Below are 24,633 nucleotides of genomic sequence, written 5' to 3' on the forward strand. Positions count from 1 at the left end.
CACTCTTCATCTTTAATCTTAGCTGGGCAATCACATTTTCAAACCTGCAGAATAAGCTTAGTGTGTACTTGTACTGCAGGACCCCATTAGGCTCATGGCGTCCGTCTGTCCATCTATTCATGCTTACTTTCATTAATTCCATTCCAGTAATCACTCCCTGAACCCTTCATGTGTGCTGGGCTCTCTGTGTCCCAGGTCAGACTATCATGAAAAAGACAGCATTCCTCATCTCAAGAAGCTCTTGGTGTAATGGAAAAAGTCTCAAAAGCATATGGATCTTAAACATGAAGCTTAATGCTATTTATTTATTATTTTAAAATTTTTATTTTTAATTTTTGTGGGTACATAGTAAGTGTATATGTTTAGGGGGTACATGAGGTATTTTGATACAGGCATACAATGTGTAATAATCACATAAGGGTAAATGGGGTATCCATTGCCTCAAGCATTTATCCTTTCTTTGTGTTACAAACAATCCAATTATACAATTTTAGTTATTTCAAAATATACAATAAATTATTGTTGACTGTAGTCACCTGTTGTGTTACAAAATACTGTATCTTCTTCATTATAGCTAATTATATTTATGTACACATTAAATATCTCCACTTCCCCCAACCCCACAACCCTTTCTAGCCTCTAGTTACCATCATTCTACCCTCTATCTCCATGAGTTCAATTGTTTTAATTTCTAGCTTCCACAAATAATTAAGAAAAGGCAAAGTCTTTCTGTCCCTGCCTTATTTCACTTAACACAGTGACCTCCAGTTCCATCTATGTTATTGCAAATGACAGGCTTTCATTCTTTTTTATGGCTGAATACTACTCTGTTTTGTATACGTACCACACTTTCTTTATTCATTCATCTGTTGATGGACACTTAAGTTAATTCCAAATCTTGGTTATTGTGAATAGTTGCTGTAATAAACATGGGACTGCAGATATATCTTCAATATACTGATTTCCTTTCTTTTGGGTATATACCTAGCAGTGGATTGCTGGATCACAACGGTAGATCTATTTTTAGTTTTTTGAGGAGCCTCCAAACTGTTCTCTGTAGTGGTTGTACTAGTTTACATTCCCACCAACAGTTTATCCAGGTTCCCTTTTCTTCCCATTTTCACCAGCATTTGTTATTGCTTGTCTTTTGGATAAAAACCATTTTAACTGGGGTGAGATGATATCTCATTGTAGTTTTGACTTGCATTTCTATGATAGTCAGTGTTACTGAGCACCTTTTGATATGACTGCTTGTATGTCTTTTCTTGAGATATGGCTATTGAGGTTTTTTGCCCATTTTAAAATTGGATTATTAGATTTTTTTCCTATTGAGTTGTTTGAGCTCCTTATATATACTGGTTATTAATTCTTTGTCAGATGGAGAGTTTGTGAATATTTTCTCCCATCTGTGAGTTGTCTCTTCACTTTGTCGACTGTATCCTTTGCTGTGCCAAGCTTTTTAAATTTGATATGATCTCATTTGTTCACTTCTGCTTTGGTTGCCTGTGCTTGTGAGGTATTACTCAAGAAATCTTTGCCTAGTCCAATGTCCTGGAGAGTTTTCCCAATGTTCTCTTGTAGTAGACTCATAGATTGAGGTCTTATATTTAAGTCTTTAATCCATTTTGATTTGATTTTTGTATGTGGCAAGAGATAGGGGTCTAGCTTCATTCTTCTGCATATGGAGATTCAGTTTCTCCAGCATCATTTATTGAAGAGACTGTCTTTTCCCAATATGTGTTCTTGGTACCTTTGTCAAAAATGAGTTCACTGTAAATGTATGGATATTTTTCTGGGTTCTCTATTCTATTCCATTGGTCTATGTGTCTGTTTTTATGCCAATACCATGCTATTTTGGTTGCTATAGCTCTGTAGTATAATTTGAAGTCAGGTAATGTGATTCCTCATCGTGTTCTTTTTCTTTTCTTTTCTTTCTTTCTTTTCTTTTATTTATTTATTTATTTATTTATTTATTTATTTATTTATTTATTTATTTTATGGAGTCTTGCTCTATCGCCCAGATTAGAGTGCAGTGGCACAATCTCGGCTCACTGCAACCTCCATCTTCCCAGTTCAAGTGATTCTCATGCCTCAGCCTCCTGAGTAGCTGGGATTACAGGCACCTGCTACCATGCCCGGCTAATTTTTTTTGTATTTTTAGTAGGGATGGGGTTTCACCATGTTGTCCAGGCTGGTCTGAAACTCCTGACCTCAAGTGATCCTCTCGTCTTGACCTCCCAAAGTGCTGGGATTACAAGTATGAGCCACCACCCCCAGCCTCCTCGTTGTATTCTTTTTGCTCAGGATAGCTTTGGTTATTCTGGGTCTTTTGTGGTTCCACATAAATGTTAAGATTTTTTTTCTATTCATGTTAAGAATGTATTTTGATAGGGACTGCATTGAATCTGTAGATTGCTTTGGGTAGTATAGACATTTTAACAATATTGATTCTTCTAATCCATGAATATAAAAATTTTTTTCCATTTTTGTGTTCTCTTTAATTTCTTTCATAAATATTTTGCAATTTTCCTGGTAGAGATCTTTTACTTTATTTAATTTTATTCATAGCTACTTGAGATTACTTTGATTTCTTTTTCAGATTATTTACTGCTGGCATATAAAAATGCTATTTTTTTGTATGTTAATTTTGTGTCCTACAACTTTACTGAATTTGTCAGTTCTAATAGTTATTTGATAGAGTCTTTAGGTTTTCCCAAATATAAGATTGTATTTTCTGCAAACAAGGATAATTTGACTTCTTCCTTTCCGATTTGGATGCCTTTTATTTCTTTTTCTTGTGTAATTTCTCTATCCAGGACTTCCAGTACTATGTTGAATAACAACGGTGACAGTGAGCATCCTTGTCTTGTTCCACATCTTCAAGAAAAGGCATTCAGTTTTTCCCCATTCAGTATGATACTGGCTGTGGGTCTGTTATATTGACTTTTATTGTGTTGAGGTATGTTCCTTCTGTATGCAGTTTTTGTGAGTTTTTATCATGAAGTGATGTTGAATTTTATCAAATGCTTTTTCAGCATCAATTGAAATGATCATAAGGTTTTTATCCTTCATTCTATTGATACGCTATATCACATTGATTGATTTGCATATGTTGAAATATTCTTGCATCCCGGGGATAAATCCTTCTTGGTCATGATGAATGATCTTTCTAATGTGTTTTTGAATTTGATTCGCTAGTATTTCATTCAGGATTTTTGCATCAATGTTCACTGGGATATTGGCCTGTTGTTTTCTTTTTTTGATGTGTCTTTGTCTGGTTTTGCTATCAGGGTCATACTGGCCTCATAAAATGAATTTAGAAGTATTCTCTCCTCCTCTATTTTTCAGAACAGTTTGAGTAGGGTTGGTATTAGTTCTTTTTTAAATGTTTGGTAAAATTCAGCAATGAAGCCTTCAGGTCCTGGGCTTTGCTGAGATCTCTTTGCTGAGATAATTTTTATTATGGCTTTGATTTCATTACTTGTTACTGGTCTGTTCAGGTTTTGGATTTCTTCATGGTTCAATCTTGGTAGGTCATATGTATCCAGGAATTTATTCATTTCTTCTAGGTTCTCTAATTTATTGGCATGTAATTGCTCATACTAGCCTCTAAAGATCCTTTGAATTTTTGTCATATTGATTGTAATGTCTCCTTTTTCATCTCTCATTGTATTTATTTGGGTCTTCTCTCTATTTTCTTAGTATGGTTAAAGGTTTATCAAATTTGTTTCTCCTTTCAAAAAATCAACTTTTTTTCATTAATCTTTTGTATTGTTTTCATTTCAATTTCATTTATTTCTGCTTTGTATTTATAATCTCTCTTCTTGTACTAATTTTGGGCTCGATTTGCTCTTGCTTTTCTAGTTCTTTAAGATGCATAGTTAGGTTTTTTGTTTGAAAATTTTCTAATTTTTTGATGTAGGTGCTTATAGCTATAAACTTTCCTCTTAGTAAAGTATACAGCTTGTGCTGTACTCCATAGAATTTGGTATGTTTTGTTTCTATTATGACATGTTTCAAGAAAATTTTTAAATGTCCTTAATTTCCATGTTCTCAGTGTTCATTTAGGAGCGTATGAATTTCCATGTGTTTGTATTATTTCCAAAATTCCTGTTGTTACAGATTTCTAGTTTTATTCCACTGTGGTTAGAGAAGACATTTGATATAATTTCATTTTTTTATTTTTAAAAAACATATTTTGTGGCCTAACATATCTTCTCTCCTTGAGAATAATCTATATGCTGAGGAGAAGAGTTTATATTCTGTAGCCATTGGATAAAATGTTTGCTAAATATCTGTTAGGTCCATTTGATCTATAGCGTAGATTAAGTTTGATGTTTCTTTGTTGATTTTCTGTCTGGATGATCTAATCAGTGCTGAAAATGAGTTGTTGAACTCTCCAGCTGTTATTGTTTTGGGGTATATATCTCTCTTTAGCTCTAGTAATATTTGCTTTATATATATGGTGCTCCAGTGTTGGGTGCATATATATTTACAATTATTATATCCTCTTGCTGAATTGACCACATTATTATATAACGACCTTCTTTGTCTCTTCTTACAGTTTTTGTCTTGAAATCTATTTTGTCTAATGTAAGTATAGATGCTTGTGCTCCTTTTGGTTTCCATTTGCATGGAATGTCTTTTTCTATCCTCTATTTTCAGGCTATGTGTGTCCTTATAGGTGAAGTGTGTTTCTTGGTTTCTTGTAGAAAACAGACTGCTGGGTCTTGTGTGTTTTTTTTTTTTTTCTTTTTTTTTTTTTTTTAAATCCATTCAGCCACTCTATGTCTTTTAATTAAAGAGTTTAGTTCATTTATTTATATGTTTATTTCTTTTTCCTTTTTTCCCCTCAAGTTCCAGCAGAATGAAAATTTAGTCCATTTACATTCAGTTAGTATTGATAAGTAAGGACTTACTCCTGCCATTTTGTTGTTTCTTTTCTACTTGTTTTGTGGTCTTCTCTTCGTCCTTCTTTCTTTCCTTCCTTCCTATCTCCCTTTTAGTGATGGTGATTTTCTCAGGTGAAATGTTTTAATTTCTTGCTTTTTTATTTTTGTGTATCTTTTGTATATTTTTTAATTCAAAGTTACTATGAGGCTTGCAAGTAACATAGCTCATCATTTTAAACTGATGACATTGATTGCATTAAAAAAGAAACTAAGAATAAGGAAACTAATAAAAAATATACACTAACTTTGTCCTTTGTCGCCTACTCTGCTTTTTAACTTTTTGTTGTTTCTATTTATATTTTATTTGACTGTCTCTGTCTTGAAAAGTTGTAGTTACTATTTTTGATTGGTTCATCTTTTAGTCTTTCCATGTAATATTTGAGTAGTTTACACATCACAATTACAGTGTTCTGTGTTTTTCTGTGGACTTACTATTACCAGTGAGTTTCATACCTTTGGATGATTTTTTATTGCTCATTAACATCCTTTTCTTTCAGATTGAGTGATTTCCTTTAGCATTTCTTGTAGCATAGGTCTGGTGTTGATGAAATCCCACGGCTTTTGTTTGTCTGGGAAAGTCTATTTCTCCTTCAAGCTTGAAGGATATTTTGGTTGGATGTACTATTCTAGGATAAAAGGTTTTTTCTTTCAGAACTTTAAATATGTCATGCCACTCTCTCTTGGTCTGTAAGGTTTCCACTGAGAAGTCTGCTGCCAGACATATTGGAGCTCCTTTGTATGTTATTTGTTTCTTTTCTATCTGTTTTAGGGTCGTTTCTTTATCCTTGACCTTTGGGAGTTTGATTATTAAATGTCTTGAGGTATTCCTACTTGGATTAAATCTGCTGAGTGTTCTATTACCTTCTTGTAATTACACATTTACCCCCATCTCTCTCTCTTTCTCCTCTTTGAGGCCAATAACTATTATATTTGCCCTTTTGAGGTTATTTTCCAGTTCTTGTAGGAGTGCTTCATTCTTTTTAATTCTTTTTTTGTCTCCTCTGACTGTGTTTTTTTTTTAAATAGCCTGTCTTCAACTCACTAATTCTTTTTTCTGCTTGATCTAGTCTGCTGTTAAGAGACTCATGCGTTCTTCAGTATGTCAATTGTATTTTTTTAATTCCAGAGTTTCTGCTTGATTCTTTAAAATTACTTCTATCTCTTTGTTCAATTTATCTGATAGGATTCTGAATTCATTCTCTGTGTTATCTTGGATTTTGCTGAGTTTCCTCAAAAGAGCTATTTTGAATTCTTTGTCTGAAAGATGACATATCTCTGTCTCTCCAGGATTGGTCACTGGTGCTTTACTTAGCTTGTTAGGTGAGGTCATGTTTTCTGGATTGTCTTAATGCTTCTAAGTGTTCATCAATGTCTGGGCATCAAAGAGTTAGGTATTTATTGTAGTCTTTGCAGTTTTGGTTTGGACCTATCCTTCTTGGGAAGGTTTTCCAGATATTCAAATGTAATTGGGTGTTGCAATCTAAGTCTTTGGTTGCTGCAGCCATATCTGCTTCAGTTGGGCACACCAAGCCATGCAGTAACACTGTGACTCTTGCAGACTCATGAGGTACTGCCTTGGGTAGGAACTGGGTGAATTCGTTGGATTACCAGGCAGAGACTCTTGTTCCCTTCCCTTCCCTTTCCCCAAATAAATGGAGTCTGTCTGTCTGTCTGTCTCTCTGTCTCTGTCTCTGTCTCTCTCTCTCTCTCTCTATCTCTATCTCTCCTGAACGGTTTTGAGCTGGGGGATAGGTAACAAAAGCACCCATGTGGCCAACACATGGGACCATGTCTGGTCAGATCTGAAGCCAGCACAGCACTGGGTCTCACCCAGGGCCTGTGATAACCACTGCCTGACAACTCCCTATGTTTGCTCAAGGCCCTAGGGCTCTACAATTAGCAGATGGTGAAGCCAGCCAGGCTGTGTCTTTCCCTTCAGGGTGGCAAGTTTTTCCTGGTCCTGGGTGTGTTTAGAGATGCCATATGGGAGCCAGGGCCTGGAGCTGGGAACCTTAGGAACCTACCTTGTGCTGTATTCTACTGTGGCTGAGCTGCCACCCAAACCATAAGACAAAGTCCTTCTCACTCTTCCTTCTTACTAGAAGCAGGGAGTCTCTCCCCATGGTCATGACTGCCTAAGGCCCATGGTGAGTACTGCCTTGGCCACTGATGTTCACTCAGGGACCCAGGGCTTTTCAGTCAGCTTGTGGTGAATGCTGCCAGGCCTGTGAGTCTCCTTTCAGGGCATCAGGCTCCCCTCTGGCCCAGGGCATGTCCAAAAATGTCATTCAAGGGTAAAGACCTGGAATCAGGACCCCAAAGGCTCACTTGGTGCTCTACTCCACTGCATTTGAACTGGTACCTACACTGCAAGACAAAGCCCCCTTTACTCCTCTCTCTCCTTTCGTCAAGCAGAAGGGGTCACAGCTTGGAATGTCTTGGGTCACACCTGAAATTAGCATATCTTTGAGTCTCACCCAAGGCCTACAGCAAATACTGCCTAAATACCACTGCTGATCAGGGCCCAAGGGCTCTTTAGTTAGCAGGTGATGAATCCTGCCAGGACTGGGTCCTTCCCTTCAAATGTGTTCCATTCTGTTCCAGGGTGTGTCTAGAAGTGCTGTCTGGAAGTCAGGGGCTGGAATGGCGGCCTCAGGACTTTGCCCGGTGCCCTATTCTACTGTGGCTGAGCTGGTATCCAAGTTGTAAGACACAGTCCTTTTTACCCTTCTCTCTTCTTCACAAGTGGAAGGAAGGAGTCTCTCTCAGAGCTGTGAGCTGCACTGCCTGCAGTTGAGTAAGTGGTGGTGCAAGCACTCCCTTGGCCACCCTGGCTGGTGTCTTACTGGGTCACATGCACGCCAAGTCCACTGGCTCCAAGCCCTACACAGCATCAGGATGGAAACTGCAGACCCTGTGGCCTAGGCTGCCTTTCAAGTTTATTTAGGACCCCAGATCGCTTTAGCCTGTGGTGTCAAGGCTTGCCAGAACGCAGGTTCTGACTGCTGGGATGGGTGATTCTCCTTTCATTAAGGCTGGTTTAAATGTTCCCTCTATGAGCATCAGCTGAGTTTTGCCCCATGCTGCTTTCTGCTGTGACAGGGCACACTGAGTTCCAATGCAAAGTTTCACAATCACTGTGCTCTCCCTCCTCCAACCACCCCCCCCCCCACCACACCCCCTGGAGTGCACAAATTCTCTCTCCACACCATACAGCTGCTGCTGAGGGATGGAGGAGGGGTGGCATTGGCAATCCAAGACCATCTTATCCGCCTGCCGCGGTGGCTCACGCCTATAATCCAGCACTTTGGGTGGCTGAGGCGGGCAGATCATGAGGTCGAGAGATCGAGACCATCCTGGCCAACATGGTGAAACCCTGTCTCGACTAAAAATACAAAAATTAGCTGGGCATGGTGGTCCGTGCCTGTAGTCCCAGCTACTCGGGAGGCTAAGGTAGGAGAATCGCTTGAACCCGGGAAGTGGAGGTTGCATTGAACCAAGATTGTGCCACTACACTCCAGCCTGGCGACAGAGCGAGGCTCCCTCTCAAAAAAAATAAAAACAAAAACAAAAAAAATCTTATCTATTCTCTTCAGTGCCTTTTCCTTAATATGATGTTACAACCAAGTACTATGATAGCTCACCTGATTTTAGGTTCTTATGAAGGTGTCTTTTTGTTTGTTTTCATTTTGATTTTTGTTCAATTTGGTGTTCCTGTGGGAATGACAATCAGTAGAGGCTTCTATTCATCCATCTTGCTCCCTGTCTCCCCTAATGCCATTTAGAGGAGAGTGTGAAAAATTCCTGAACTGAAAATAGTTGTCTATTCAGTTTTGTATTTTGTCTCTGAGAGTGGTGATTGTGCCAAAGGAAGGTATAGAAGCTCTCCTTTGTTACGCTATCTCCTCAAAAGAACATGGCTTTGATAAATTGTTTGTATCTCTATGATGGATGGTGCTTTATTGTTCTCCTGATTAAACAAAGGGCAGACAACACTGGAAGAGAAATTTCACGTTAACATAGGTGGGAGTGAACTGATCTACCACTACTTTCTATCAGGAGAACAATTTGGGAATCAGAAAAAAAAATCTTTGGGAATGGTGCCACTTATGCACTCAACACTCCGTCAATGTGATGGTTCTCATAAGCAGACATAAGGTGTAAGAAAGGTGCTAAAATGCTCCTTGGTTCAATAATGTCCATAATCTTATATTTCATAATAGATTTAGTCAAAGTTGTGTTAATGGAAGACTTATGCAACTAGACCATGTTGTTTTAGGAAGAAAATGAACAGTTGCTAAGGTGAGGTTGCATGCCCTTAAGAAATTCGGTTGTACACTGGCTACAACTCTTACTGAAAGCAGGTAATGAGATGCAACAGGGAGTACCCCTCCCTTTTTCTCCCATTCTCAGGTCCCAAGCCTTTCTTGCTCCCTTCTGAACTTGCAAAGCCTGAACAGAGGGAAGCCTCCATTAGCATATGGAGAAAACCCGAGGAGTCAGAGGAGGCTAGGATTTTTTTATGAGGTAGAGATTGTGGCAGTTTCACACAGGAAGGGGGTGGTAACACCCCAGGAGGGAGGTTTGAGGTGTGGCTGCAGGAGGAAGACAATAAGAGGGACTAGCAAGAGGATCACTGAGAAGAGAGAAGATGAAGAGCTAGAGAACATTTACATGCACAACCAAAGCAAGCCCCAACTGTAAGCAATTTACCATTTCCTCTGAAAGGCATGAACAATTCAGACTAAGTCACAACCTCCTGTCTGTATTGCTTTGGTGCTTGTCTGCATCATCAGTAAAAGAACTGCTTACATTTCTCTTCCATATCTGTTTTTTTTTTTTCTAGCAAAGAGAGTTGTGGAATTATTCACGAATGAAGCAGTTCCAGATAGGAACATCAGGCCACCTGATGCTGTTCTGGGGAGGCATGGCAGGTGGTAGAGGGAGCACTCACCTTCCCCTTGGAGTCAACCATGTGGAGAAGACCACAGATCATTAGATGTCTTCCCTGGCACCGGGGACTGCAGGCCAGATTTCTTTGATTCCCCTGATAACCTCCTCTCTTCCTGAGGACAGAAAGGGGGCCCTTTCATTTTCTGGTTACATGAAATAGTACTTCAGAATGGGCCAAGCTGGACCATTAAATAGGAAGTGGATCATGGAGGGTGCAAGTGAGGTTCTTGTTGCAGGAAGGCTTTTAGCAGATGCTGATCAATGAATTGGAAGGGATATTTGAGGTGGAATTCAAACACGGGTAACCAGAAGTTCCCAAACATGACTGCATATAAAAATCAGTTATTTAGCTGTCAGAAACACAAATATTTGGGCCCCATTCCAAGACTGGCCAAGTCAAAATAACTGAAGGTAGAGACAAAAAAAATTCTATAAATTTTTTCTACAGTGATTAAAAATCACAGCCATGTTTTAGAACCAGTAGACTAGATGATGTTTAAGATAGAAATCCAACTCTGAGATTTTATATTTCACAAGTAAAGCAACTAGAATCCCAGAAGTTTGATAAGCTTGGGTGTCATTCTATATATCGGATCACTTTTTAAGCTCTGATTCTTCAGTATCTTGTAGAAACTGGATCACATTTTTTTTTTTTTTTTTTTTTGCATGTTGAAAGATTGTCACAGTAAGAGTGGCTGCATTTTAGTTGCTATCTAAATGGCTGGAAGGTAGAGCTGTGAATGACCTGGGGCATGGGCTCCCAGAGACCTACAAATAAGCTCAAAGAGGATGCTGGAACCCTTCCTGGGGCACTGGGAGCCATGTACTTAAAAACACCATCTGGTGCTCACTTTCTTCCTTCCTTGTCTAGGCTGAGGTCAGCGAGAGAAAAATATAATGATGAAAGCAAAGGTGTGTAAGAGAACTGGTGCAATACAAGCATGTCTCAACACTGACTTTCCATATTGGTGCCAGGCAAGCAAAGGGTAGTGGACCATACTGGCCATTTATTATTATAAGGGCCTCTGGCAAAACTCTTCTTTCTGAGGCTCAGTGTTATAGTCATCACAGAAAACCAAGGAAAGGATCTTTAAAGACAGGCACAGTGTGAACCCTAAAGTGATGGCAAGCAAGCTGAAGAGATCAACACAAATACCTAAGGAGATGTTTTCGGACTCTTCCGTACTTGCACATCCACCTTAGTGATCTGGTTCCAACCCAACTTGTCTGTCATACTCTTGCTCCATAAAACCATCTCCTGAAGCTAGCCTCCACCCACTTGCCACACCCACTCCTCTCTTCTTAAAATCCTTCAGTGGCTCTCCATTGTAGAAAGGATGAAGTTCAGCTCCTTAGTATGAGAAAAAAGACTCCCCACAGTATGCTTTCTGTCTACTCCTGTGGCTTGATCTTCTCTGACCCCACAATTTTCATGCCCTGTACTTGAGCTACACCTACTTACCTGTCCATGAGCAAGCTTTGTTGAGCTTTGCCTTCTTGCTTTTGTCTATACCACTTACCCACCCACACCTCCTGACCAGCCATGGTCCTTTGCACTACAGTTGAAACTCCACATTCTCCCCCAATTCTCCACTTACAAGCAGAGTTGATCTGCAGACTTGGGGCTACCACTATACTTAGAACATAAATTTATGTAGCACTTGTTACACTATTACAACTAACGGTTTCTAGGTCTGTTTTGTCTCTTCTAATGAACTATAGTTTGTTGAGTGAAGGCATGGTTTATTGTCTTTTTCAACACTATGTCTCCATTTGCTGCTCAGTATGTGTGTGAACCATAGAAGGCATTCTTTATATAATGGTGATGAATATATGTCAACTATAAGCCAATATGTAGGATTTTTTTTTTCTTTATGAGAAAGCAAGTTCTGAGAACTTTGGGAACTAATCATGTACTGGGAATATTGATTTCTCAGCCCATGTTTGCTGTGTTCACCCTGAGATTCAGACGAAGCTGGGCATGTCTTAAAGATCAGATAAGTAGAACATTAGGTATTAGAAAATAAATTGCATCAAAGGAAGAATTACAAGTTTATTCGTAGGAAAATTGGGCAAATCAGAGAGGAAGAGTGATTTTGAGTACAATGCAGTGCCTCCTCTTGTATGAAGTAAATAATAACAGAGCTTACTGGAATTTATGTAAGAGTTTCAGAGGCATTTTTCAGCAAAGAGAGACCTTCGTAGGGGTGGAAAAATAATTGTTACACTTACCTGGAATAACACTATTGAAACACATGCTGATGTAGGGGAGACATATTGGCTTAATCAGGAAGCCAGACAGCAAGCCTAAAGCTGCAGAGAGAGGAGAGAGGAGAGAGAGAGACTAAAGAGAGACACTAAAGAGAGAGAGAAGAGGGAGAGAAAGAGAAAAATGAAAGAGAGAGAGAGAGAGAGATACAGGAGATGAAAGCTCATCTGCAGGGCCAAACAGGCAGATAAGGATTCGAGAAACATGGTGGGTATGTGGAGACTGAGCCCATGAGAAATGCCCCTCAGGATCCCCTGAATTATTTGGGAGAAGGTTTTGTTTCTTCAAAATGGAAGAAAAGCAGAAGCAAAAAAATGCTATCTTTTTTTTAAGTGACTACTACCCTACTTTTTACATATCCTTCCCGTCCCTTTGGTGTGGGCTTGGAAAACAAAATGACACAAAGCAAGACATAATGTGGTCCTTGCCAACTGATGGACCGGGACATGAATAGGTGAAAAGGTAGCCATACAGAACTACCTTAGCAGTTTAGGAGAAAGGTGTCTTCTCCTTTCTAGCTCAAACCTCCTGGCAGATGACTTTTAGGATTTAATAGTGCCAAAGGTTTGAGCTGCTATTTTGTCTCAAGGGAAAGCTAAAGAGGGGAAAAAAATAATTCCTTTTCACAAGGCTTAACTTTGCATTGGCCTATGCCATTGTTGGCATCTGACAAGTGGCTAATTTGCAAGGCTGGGTTAAAAATTGAGGTAATTTAGTTTTCTTTCACTTGAAAAGTTCATGTGAATGGGAAATAACCCAGGAGCTGTTACAAAGCTGTGGGTCACATGGCAGTCCAAACAGACCCAGTTCAAAAGAGAAGCAGTGAGGACTGCTTACACTGTTGACTTGAGAGAATGTCTTCAGAGGTCTAATTGGAGCTGTGTGCCTAATATTGACGAAACAGTGACACGCCTCAGTTATTTAACTGGAAAGGAAAAGTGGGAATTCACCTTCAAGATACTCTTTGGTTTAATCACTCTGGCCACAGCATTTCCTGCTCAGCTAGATGGTGAAGAGTCTACCAGCAATTCCTGGCATCTGACACATAAAAAGAAGTCAGGGCCGGGCATGGTGGCTCACGCCTGTAATCCAAGCACTTTGGGAGGTTGAGGTGGGTGGATGATGAGGTCAGGAGTTCAAGACCAGCCTGGCCAAGATGGGGAAACCCCGTCTCTACTAAAAATACAAAAAAATTAGCTGGGTGTGGTGGCGGGTGCCTATAATCCTAGCTACTCAGGAGGCTGAGGCAGAGAATTGCTTGAACCTGGGAGACAGAGGTTGCAGTGAGCCAAGATCATGCCACACCACTGCACTCTAGCCTGGGTGACAGAGCGAGACTGAGTATCAGAAAGAAAAAAAAAAAAAGGGAAAAAATCAGGCAATTCAACTGGGATTGACACCACTACCATCACCCTCGGAAAGACCTAAAAACGTGCACCTAAAAGAGAGCCTATCTGGATAGTTAGGAAATCACAGCACCATGTTCTTTATGAGCAGAGAGGAGCTGCCAACTTCATTCGATCCAATGCCCTCATTTTATAAGTGGTAGATCCAGAGAAGGGATAGATTTTTGATTTAAATAATCCACTAGGTTGTTTGCTACCTCTCAGTCTGAGTAGAGAAACTATCAGGAAAACAGTCTCAGGATGTAGGTTACAGCCTGGTGGGAAAGATTGTGCAGTAAGTTTTTTGGTTTCCTCAGGATACAAATGATTTAACTAAGACAGTAGCGCCATACTTAACTTTTATCAGTGGCAAAAATTCTCAGAAGTCTCAGCTCACTCATTTTTTTCTTTCTTTTTAGAGACAAAGTCTTACTGTCACCAGGCTAGAGTGCAGTGGCATAATCATAGCTTGATGGAGCCTCAAACCCCTGGGTAAAGTGATCCTCCCGCCTTAGCCTCCTGAGTAGCTGGGACTACACAGGCGTATACCACTGTGCCTGGCTAATGTTTAATATTTTTTTGTAGAGACAGAGTCTCACAATGTTTTCCAGACTAAAAATTCATTTTTCTTGCTAGTTTTTATTCAGTTCTCAGTTTGAGAGGAATTAACGCTGCAAAAGTTTGCCATCCTCTCAGTGGGCATTTATCACTTTCCAAGTCCCTTTTTCACTTGAGGAACTCTTTCTTATGTCTAACATGGTGGTTCTGGTGAGGGCTGTAAATCACAGTGCTTGTGGGGCATGAAATGGCCTGAGTAGATCAATCCCAATGTTCAATCAACTTTGTTGGTTGGCTCAGTGATGGGCATAGGATACAATCCTGGCCAATGAGGGAACTTGCTGAGATTTTTTCTTGCTGGAGCTAGAGGAAGGACACTGTGTTTCCCTGGTCGTGAAGCTGAAGGGTGCACACTTAGATCTACTTTTGTTAATGGTCCAGCATTGAGGAGCAGCTGGCAATAAGATGCAGAAAAGACAAAAATCAAGAAACAGGGAGTTGTTAGTATTGGAGGCCCATATCCAGTTATCCTGGAGGCTGTGTTCCCACCCCTCCCTTTTGTTGGCTTGCTTATGGGTGACCCCAAATTCTCCTTTCTGGCCTAAGTAAGCCAATTTCAGTTGACTTTCGGTCATTGTCATATGAATTAATAAAAGCGTCCTAATACTTTCCATTTCCCTCTGTCCTTGATTGTCCCCTATATTTGAGTCATTAAGTCTGTTGTAGGCAAAATAATGCCCCACCACCACCAAGATGTTCACATTCTTTGTGAATATGCAAGTTTAAATGGCAAAAATGACTTTGCAGATGTGGCTAAATTAAAGATCCTGAGATGGAGAGATTATCCTGGATTATCTGGGTGTACCCACTGTAATCACAGTGTCCTTATAGGGGAATAGGGAGGCAGGAGAGTTAGAGGAGATGTGAGGCTAGAAGCAGAGGTTGGAGTGATGCAGCCATGAGTGAAGGAATGTGGGCAGCCTCTAGAATCTGGGAAATGCAAAGGGATGGTTCTCCCCCAGAGCCTATAGGAATCAGCCCTGCTGAGATCTTGACTTTAGTGTTTGTGGTCATTTGTTTTGGTAGCAATAGGTAACTATATAAAATCATTAAAATTGTTGAGTACCAAACCAATCTCCCTGAACTGTTTTTCTGTAATCTCTGTCCTGCCTGGGCTTTGCCAAGATCTCACCACACATATTGGGCTGGCCACCTACATAATAAGATCTGAAGGTTTCCTGCTGTCTTGCAGGATATCTAATTGCTGATGTATAAAATTCTTTAAAGAAGAAATATGCATTTGTTTGCATTATGATTTTAGGCTTGGAGTGAATATTCTTTGGAGAGAAACAAACCTATTTACTTCAATATATTGAAAATTATTAAATGATGCTGAGTCCTTTCTCCAAGCAGGTGTTGGTGAGGTGGGTTGTGATGAAGCCAGATCTTAAAGGCACGTGCTTTCAGGTATCTATGTGGTGGGGAGAAAGATTCTAAAAAGCCAGGATTCTGAAAGTGAACTCCTAACTTCACAATATCACAAAGCCAGGCTTGGTTTCAGCAGATGGAAGGCGCCTGTGTGCTTGTTTTTGTCGCGTTATGTTTGCAGTGTACTGAGAGTTTAGTTTTCAGCCTGTGTAATCTTAACAACTTTAAGCACTCCCAGTTTCCTCATTTGTAAAATGAGGATTAAATTAATATGTAGCTTATTTGGGTTTTATGAGGATAAATGAGATAGCAAATGCAATTTTCTTAGCACAGTTCTAGGTAGGTAGCAAGGGTTCATAGAAGTCTAGCAATATGGTGAATTGGGAGCCATGGGGACCTGGAACAAACACCAGCAGTGAGTGGGTGGCAGAAAGAAGTCAGATTTACTGGGCAATATGTGGACCCAGGAGTCAACAAGGATGACCATAATAGGAGGTAATCTAGGCACTCATTTAGTATCAGAGAGGCCCTAGCAAGGGAAACAAGCATGTGGTGGAAATCAGGGATATGAAGCACCGGGTCAAATCTGGGAGAAGGAGTCTCTAGATGGCACGACACACTACTGTGGAAGGTGGCAAGATGGCCTGGATCTCAGCCGTTTTAAAGACAATGATTCAAATAAACCAGGCATAGGCAGCAATGTCAGGGTCCAATGACAGAATTAAGGTCCCAGGTGGGAGGGCTTGATCTTGAGTGGTCAGGGTGAAAGTCCAGTAACTGGAGCAGCAATGTTAGTCCAAGATGGGGGTGAACAAAGAAGCAGCTTGGTGCTGAGTCCCATGGTGTTCAGTGCTTCTTAAATCCTATTGCCCATAGTACTGGTTCCAAAATCTCTATAGAGTGGAAGAGGGTGTGGCAACAGGAGGAGAGGTTGAGTTCATCCACATAGATCAAGTGCTTCCATTTTTGGGGAGAGGAAGGTGTAAGATTCTCCCTGGGGCCTGAAAGCTTAGGGAGATGAATAACTCCTCCCTTCTCAGGCCCAGTCCCAAGGCACAAGGCTGCTTGCTCCAGCAGTGTGCTGACAGCAAGATAGAAGCAGGAAGAGAGCCGGCCGGAGGATACCTACTCTGGCCGGAAGACACGTACCCCTGAAGGTTTAGAAAGAGGCCATCCGGATACAATTACATCAGACTAGGACACTTCCTGTTTACATGAGACTATAAAACCTTTGCCCTGTCCTCACTTGGGGCTGATGCCATTTTAGGCCTCAGCCTCCCTGTACCCAGGCTCTCATTAAAACACCATGTTGCTCCACACCGTGTTGTCTGTTGGCGCGCTCTCGAGGTTCGAACCAATATAAGAACCTTACAGAAGGTAGTCAGCAAAAAAACAGACAAGTCCTTTATTTTAAGATAAAGAAAACCTACCTTTCTTAAGACTAAACAGGCACAAAGCATTGGGATTATCCACTTCTTCTGAAGGGCAGCAACTCCAATGATCAAACATTAGCCATGAGATGGACCCGAGAGATCATATCATATAGCCGCCTCTTTTATAAAATCAATATTTCTCAAAGACTGTTACCTGGACCACCAGTTTCAGCTTCATTAAAATGGAAAATGCTTGGTCTCTAATTGAGTATCCTAAATCAGACTCAGGGAGTGGGAGAGGGGGGTGAGCTAGAAATGTGCGTTTTAACCACCTCTCAGGTGATTAGGAACTGCAGGTTTTGTGGTTCTTAACACTGACTGCCCATTATAATCACCTAGGGATGATATCCTAACCGTGGGCTAATCGAACTGGAACTTCTGAGGCTGGGGCTGAGGCTCAGGCAACAGTATCTTAATAAGCACCCTGTGTTGAGAACCGCTGGCATAGATGGTAGTAAAGTGATTTTCCTAAGGGCACTCAATCGAATAGTGGTAGAGCTGGAATGGAAATTCAGTCTTTGTTGAAAAGCAAAAGAAAGTGTGGTCTTTGAAACTCAGTGGACAAGCATCAGAATCAGAGGATTGGAATCCATGATTTGAGAGGAAGGGCAACTGGTCCAGTGAAAGCAAGGACTGACCTGGAGCTATTGGCTACTTTTGTGTACTGGCCATTACCTGGCATGCCGTGGGAGAATTTGTGTTTAATCAGGGTGTACTGACAGAAATGAAATGAAATTGCTGCAAGAAAAAGCCACAGCAGAAACAATGCTTAGCATTACCTAATGAGTGACCAAAACGCTGTCTTCCTATCTGCAAATCCCATAGCCCCAGGTCAACATTCAAATCGATGAGTAGGTACATATTAAGCTGATTGTGATGCTGAGGTGGAGAGCTAAATAGACCAAATGCTAGAGGGTAGGTAAGAAATTAAATGTGTATTATATCTTCCTCTTTTTCTCAGTGTATGATTTTGTGTTAGGAAGGCAGGTCCATCTCAACTTAAATATTTACTTGTCTTTCAGCGCCTTAGCTCCAGGCACAAATTAAATTCCTAGGCTGCAACAGTGGAAGAATTTAATCTGCTGTATGTTCCGAGGGTGACGTATGTTAGGCTTGCTTTGCCTTCTGAATTTCTTCTTTTAGATAAGTGATACTGATTGTAGTGCGGACTGTCAGTAGACTTGAGTAGTGAAGGCCCTTCTCTGAGAGTGGCTGCTCCAGTCTTCATTTTTGTCACTGCCTTAGTTGTGAGCGTTCCTTGATGCTGCCACTACACAGACAAGACCTGGACACTCAGAGGTATTTTTTGTTTGTTTGTTTTTTGAGTTGGAGTCTTACTCTGTTGCCCAGGCTGGAGTGCAGTGGTGCAATCTCGGCTCACTGAAACCTCCGCCTCCCTGGTTCATGCGATTCTCCTGCCTCAGCCTCTTGAGTAGCTGGGATTACAGGCACCTGCCACCACACCTGGCTAATTTTTGTATTTTTAGTAGAGATGGGGTTTCACCATATTGGCCGGCTGGTCTTGAACTCCTGACCTCAGGTGATCCACCCACCTCGGCCTCCCAAAGTGCTGGGATTATAGACGTGAGCCACTGCGCCCAGCCTCACTCAGCGGTATTTAGTCCAATCCAATGCTGTTCACGGTAGGATGACTCACTGAATAGTTAATATATTCTTTTATTTATTTATTTTTCTGCTTTTCAGAGAAAGGGACTAGAAAACCCTCCGGATGGGCCTTCAAAAGTTAAGTCACTTAGGGATGCCAGATAGTGTTTCTTCCCTGGAGAAGGTGGGTGGGGAGTACACAGAATCTTTGCAAGGCAGTTCATTATTATTATGGTGAACAAGTTCAGGCTACCAGAGTATTTCTATTGACTTAGGGAAAGAATAAGATCTCTAGTCTTGTGAGAGCCTGAGGCTTCTAGAAGCAATCCATATAGCTATTCTGAAGCAAGTGGATAGTGGCCTGATTGCAGGAAGATCCGGGTGCTTCAGTTCAGGTATTAAGGTATGGCAGGTACTAGAGTGAAATGAGTGAGGGACCTGCCTTGGCCACCAAGTATATGTGGCTACATAAATGCAGCAATCAAGATAAATAATTTTGACGCAATGTGTTAAAAATCAAAATTAATGCAAAAATGCACTCTGAACAAAATAGCAAAATTTTGAATAAAGACGGGATCAGTAATCATATTGAGCCATAGTAGGGCTTGACACAAAAGGAAAAAATCAGAAATACTGGTTTTTAGTAACACGGAATATGACAAATAACAGGAAGCGCAGCAAATCAGCTCCAGATGAGTTGCAGATCTGAATGCGAATGATAAACAATAAATATTGTGGAAGGAAAAAAATCCTAATAAACTGGGAGTAAGTTTCTTGAACAGAACTCAAAAAGCACTAACCATGAAAAAAAAAACTTGAGAAACTTAGCTATAACAAGATTAGATATTTCTGTTCATCAAAAGGCACTATTAGGAGGATGAAGAAGCCATTCAGAATGGGGAAGATATTTGCAATTCAAATATCTGACCTAAGAATTAAATCTCACATATTAAGAGCTCCTGCAAATGAAAATAAGAAGACAGACAACCTAATAAAAACATGAGCAATAGACTTGAACAGGCATTTCAGGAATGTATAGCTAAGTGACAAATAAGCATTTGAAAAATAGCTTATTTTCATTTTCAAGGAAATGCAAATTAAAACCTCAGCAAGACACTCCTGTAGCTTGCATTTTCTAGAATTTTATATGAATGGAATCATGCAATACGTACCAGAATGGCTAAATAAGCATGTAATTCCAAGTGTTGATGAAGAACAACTTGGACTGTCATACACTGCTAGTGGGAGTTTAATATGGTACGAGCAGGCCGAGGCAGGTGGATCACAAGGTCAGGAGATCAAGACCATCCTGGCTAACACGGTGAAACCCTGTCTCTAATAAAAATACAAAAAAAAAAAAAAAAAATTAGCCGGGCATGGTGGCGGGCACCGGTAGTCCCAGCTACTCAGGAGGCTGAGGCAGGAGAATGCGGTTGCAGTGAGCCAAGATCGCCACTGTGCTCCAGCCTGGGTGAAAGAGCAAGACTCCATCTCAAAAAAATAAAAAAATAAAAATAAATAAAAATAAAAAACTGTTTCATAATATCTTCTAAGGCTGACCTAGTACATCCTTCCTGGCCAAGCAATTCCAACAGAAATACTTACACATGCTCATCAAAAGATATGCACAAGAACGCTTAACATCCTTAATTATTACAGAAATGTTAATTAAAACAATAATAAGATAGCACCGCATACCCATCAGGATGTCTAATAGGTATCTGAAAGAATGGACTCTAACAAGTGTTATGAGGATGAGGAGCAAATGGAACTCTCATATACTCTTGGTGGAAATGTACAGTGTGGAAAACAATTTTAAAGTTTTTTTAAAAAGTTAAACATGTAGCTACTATATGAATAGTATATTGTAAGTATACTATTGTAAGTAGTAAATATATTTTTTAAATAATATATTTCTTATACAATATTTATTACACAATATACAATATGTTACAAAATAATTTTGTAAATTTACTATTGTAAATAGTAAAAGAATAGGTATTTACCCAAGAGAAATCAAAGTGTATGTCCATACAAATGCTTACACAGAAATGTTCACAGCAGCTTATTTTTTGATAGCCACAAACTGGAAACAACCCCAATGGCATCAACAGTGAATAGACAAGCAAACTGTGGTGTGTCCTTACAGTGGAACACTGTTCAGCATTACAAAGGGAATAAACCACTGACACATATAGCAGCATGGATGAATCCCAAAATTATTCTGCTGAGTGAGTAAAAAGTGGCAGACAAAAAGCATACATATTGTATGATTCCCTTCACATAAAATTCTAGATAATGCAACATAGTGATAGCAGATTGGTGGTTGTTTGGGGGTTGGGGGCCGTAGGAATAGGTGGGGGTTGGGGGAGGAATGACAAAGGAGCATGAGGAAACTTTTGTGGGTACTGGATTTGTTTATTATATTAACTTTAGTGATAGTTTTGTGTATGTGTGTGTGTGTGTGTGTGCATATGGGTGTGTCAAAATTTACCAGATTGTGCACTTGAAATATGTGCAGGTTTTTATGTGTTAATTACATCATGATACAACTGTCTTTAGAAAACAATTACATGAAAGGCTTTGCTCTCAAGTTTCTCCTTGCCTAGCTGTAGATAGGCAGATAAACATATCATTATAATGCACATGTTCAGTGCAGTTATGAAGGGCTTTGGCAAGATGCAGAACCTAGCCAATTCAGGAATACCTGGAGGAATCAGGGAAGGCCCTGGAGAGGATGTTTGGTGAAGCGTAGGGAGTCTAAATGACACAGTTTAAGGCAAGCCTGGAGATGCAGTTAGAAACCAGCTGGTGAAGGGTGCCACATTAGAAAGTAGACAAGGAGATGAGTAAGAGCAATGAATACGTTAATAATACTAATCACAATTTTGGGAGGTGGCCTGATTTTCTTGGTGAGATTTATGATTCCTAAATCTCATCATTTAAAGATCAATGGGCCTTGATTGAATGAACAGCCTCATTCATTGGCCCTCCACTCTACTGTTCACACTATATATGTCCTAGAAAAATAATATGTCCCAATATAAAAATGCTGGTTCCATTTTTAATACAGCTTGAATGTTCATTCCAGGCAGGACAATTTGTCTCTGCGCTTTTATATTATCTTTTTTTTTCAACTCACTTTCTTTGAAAATAGTAAAAACACATTTTCTACTTAGCAAGATAAATTCAGTTTTTCTCTTAAACTTGGGGTAAATGATGTAATGTAATGTAATCAACTTGTTTAAAGGTCTGGGGAAGAGATATCTATGGCAACCTTCCCAAGCCATTCTGGTGAATAACCCAAGTCTAATTTGCCTTCAGATGACTTTTAGGTGGGATGAGTAGCAGAGGAAGGAAAGGAAGTAGTAGGAGGAAAAGCAGAAGACGAGAAAGGGGAGCAGAATGAGAATTATGTGAAGTCCCACTATTAAATGCTTAATACATAATGTAATTAAATTGCTACCAAAGACCTTCCATGAGTGTTTATTGGAATCTGCATTTGTCCTTGTTTTGTAATTGCAAAAAAAGCCAGAAGGAGATTGACATTTTTTTTTGTTCTCATTCTATGTTATTCCCTCCAGAGTACAAATAAGTCAAATAATGGATTTTATTTTCTGAAGTTCAGAAAGAAAGTGAAATTGTTGATATTGTATAAGTAAACAGGCTCTGACTCTCAATGACTTTAAACAGCTAACATTATTATGTATCTCTGCTGTTTTATTTATCTCATTTTCTTCAGTCTCCACAGAAACCCTACAAAGTCATTTTTGGTACACAGAAGTAAAAAGCATGTAGGGATAGAGATTGTCGAGCTTGCTCAAAGTCAGATCATTAATAATTGTGCCTGCCCTGCTCAGCTGACTGGAACCTGGTTCAGTTGTAGCCATAGCCCATGCTCCTTATGCTACTTCAGCTTTACCCAGGCAGGTTTCACATAACAAATGAATATTTAGGCATAGATGATACAGTGTGGGGCACATAATAAGCACTCAAAAAGTATTGTGTTTTTTTTTGATAGAAAACTTATCTAATTTTCTAAGTATGTATTCTAAACCTCAAATTCTTTCCTCCTGCATTTAGTAAACCTTTAGAAATGAACCCTGAAGGGGAAATTTAAGGGATTTATCTTGCCTCCTCCCTCTCTTGGGAAGGCCTCCTGATCTCCTTTTTACATCTGTTTGAGATGGTTTTTCTCAACCTTGTCCTTTTTGTTCTTTAGTGACTGATGCAGGGATAACCCAAATGAGCTAATCAGAGTCTATCTACAGAATTTTTGTATTGTGTCAAAGAAAGAGAATCTGTCTCTCCTCAATCAGCAGCTACTGGTAGCCAAGTTTCCTCAGGTGGTGAGTGAATAATGGCAATGGCTGGAAAGAAGTAGGTGGACCAACGTGGCAGAGTCCTTGGACTCTTGACTGACCTGGCTTCAATTGTTTTGAGGCTCAAATTCATCTCTGCTGACCATAATTTAATTCTTCAATTGTACCATGAATCCCGAGAGCCAAGAGATTTTTTTTTTTGTCAGTGTGAGTCTAAGCTGATTTTTCGATCACTTGTAACCAAGAGTCCTAATTGATGTAAACCTCATCAGAAGAGTAGTGTTTCTGTCATTATTTTAAAGTCAGTTTGACAATTCTGGAACACACACAGAAAAGGATAAGTTGCCATGAAAGTACATTTATTTATGCATTTTCATAAATATTTAAAATAAGTGGCAGGGCACGGTGACTCATGCCTGTAATCCCAGCACTTTGGGAGGCCAAGGTAGGTGGATCACCTGAGGTTGGGAGATCAAGACCAGCCTGGCCAACATGGTGAAACTCTGTCTCTACTAAAAATACAAAAATTAGCCAGTTGTGGTGGTGCACGCCTGTAATCCCACAGGAGGCTGAGGCAGGAGAATCACTTGAACCTGGGAGGCGGAGGTTGCAGTGAGTCGAGATCACACCACTGCACTCCAGCCTGGTGACAGAGTGTGACTCCATCTCAAAAAAAGAAAAAAACAAAAAAAATTTAAAAGCTATAGCTAAACAGTGATTCCAAAAGATAATACTTATTGGAATTAGATTTCAAATAAATAAACACTTGTTTATAAATATATAACTTTTACATCAACCTTAAACATCAGTCTTAAGGCTTGCATCAGTACTAGATCTGGCCACAGATTTTAGTTGCAAAATTGCTAACTAAACCAACCCCAGATGATTTAAGTAGAAAATATTTTATTAAAAGAATATTGGAGGAATTTCAGTTTCAGTAATGGCAGAGTAGCTTGTCTAGGAAAATTCCCTTTCCCAAAAATCTATGATAAACTCTGGATAAAATATAAAAAAGAAAACCCCAACTATTTGAAGACACCGTAGAGTATCCAAAAAGAGGCATAAGCTTGATTAGATGCTTGGAAAAGGGAACAAAACTAGGTGAAGTCTCCATTGATGCAGCTTTGTTCATAAAGGTATTCACCAGTCCCCATGACATGGGACAGAGAGAATTCAAGAAGAAAGTGGCGGTATTATTGGCTCGATGTTTCAGAGAATAGAATTTAGGGATGCCAGAACAGCTATAAAATGAAGAGGAGAAAGTCCTGAAAAAGAAAAACCTATGGATGGGAGAGTCTTTAAATATGTATATGAGCTTCCTTCAAATCTGTGACTATACATGTATGGGAGAGGCTTCAAATAGCAGAAAAGAAAGCAAAAGCTAGAAGTGTGAAAAAGCAGAACACTGCAACTCATTGCAGGGGAGACAGTTTGAAGTTTGAATCTATCCAAGTAAAGAGGCTTCGTAAACACCTTAGGCCTTCCATTGAAACCTTAGGAGGGAATACCTTTAGAGTGCTTGCTGGCCGGGCATAGTGGCTCACACCTGTAATCCTAGCACTTTGGGAGTCTGAGGTGGGTGGATCACTTGAGGTCAGGAGTTTGAGACCAGCCTGGCCAACATGGTGAAACCTCATCTCTACTAAAAATATGAAAATTAGTCAGGCCTTGTGGCACATGCCTGTAATCCCAACTACTCGGGTGGTTGAGACAGGAGAATCACTTGAA

General features: G+C 39.9%; 1 long non-coding RNA gene across 1 annotated transcript in view; it reads right to left on the minus strand.

Moving 5' to 3' along the window:
* Positions 1-24,633, minus strand: part of LOC107984778 (uncharacterized) — a 66,533-nt gene that overhangs the window by 10,310 nt on the left and 31,590 nt on the right. Inside the window, exon 3 of the long non-coding RNA XR_007064763.1 lies at positions 9,907-10,018. This is a non-coding gene — a long non-coding RNA (uncharacterized LOC107984778). The remainder of the gene's footprint in view (positions 1-9,906; positions 10,019-24,633) is intronic.

The sequence above is a fragment of the Homo sapiens genome, chromosome 15 (genome assembly GCF_000001405.40).
Source record: "Homo sapiens chromosome 15, GRCh38.p14 Primary Assembly".
Taxonomy (NCBI): domain Eukaryota; kingdom Metazoa; phylum Chordata; class Mammalia; order Primates; family Hominidae; genus Homo; species Homo sapiens.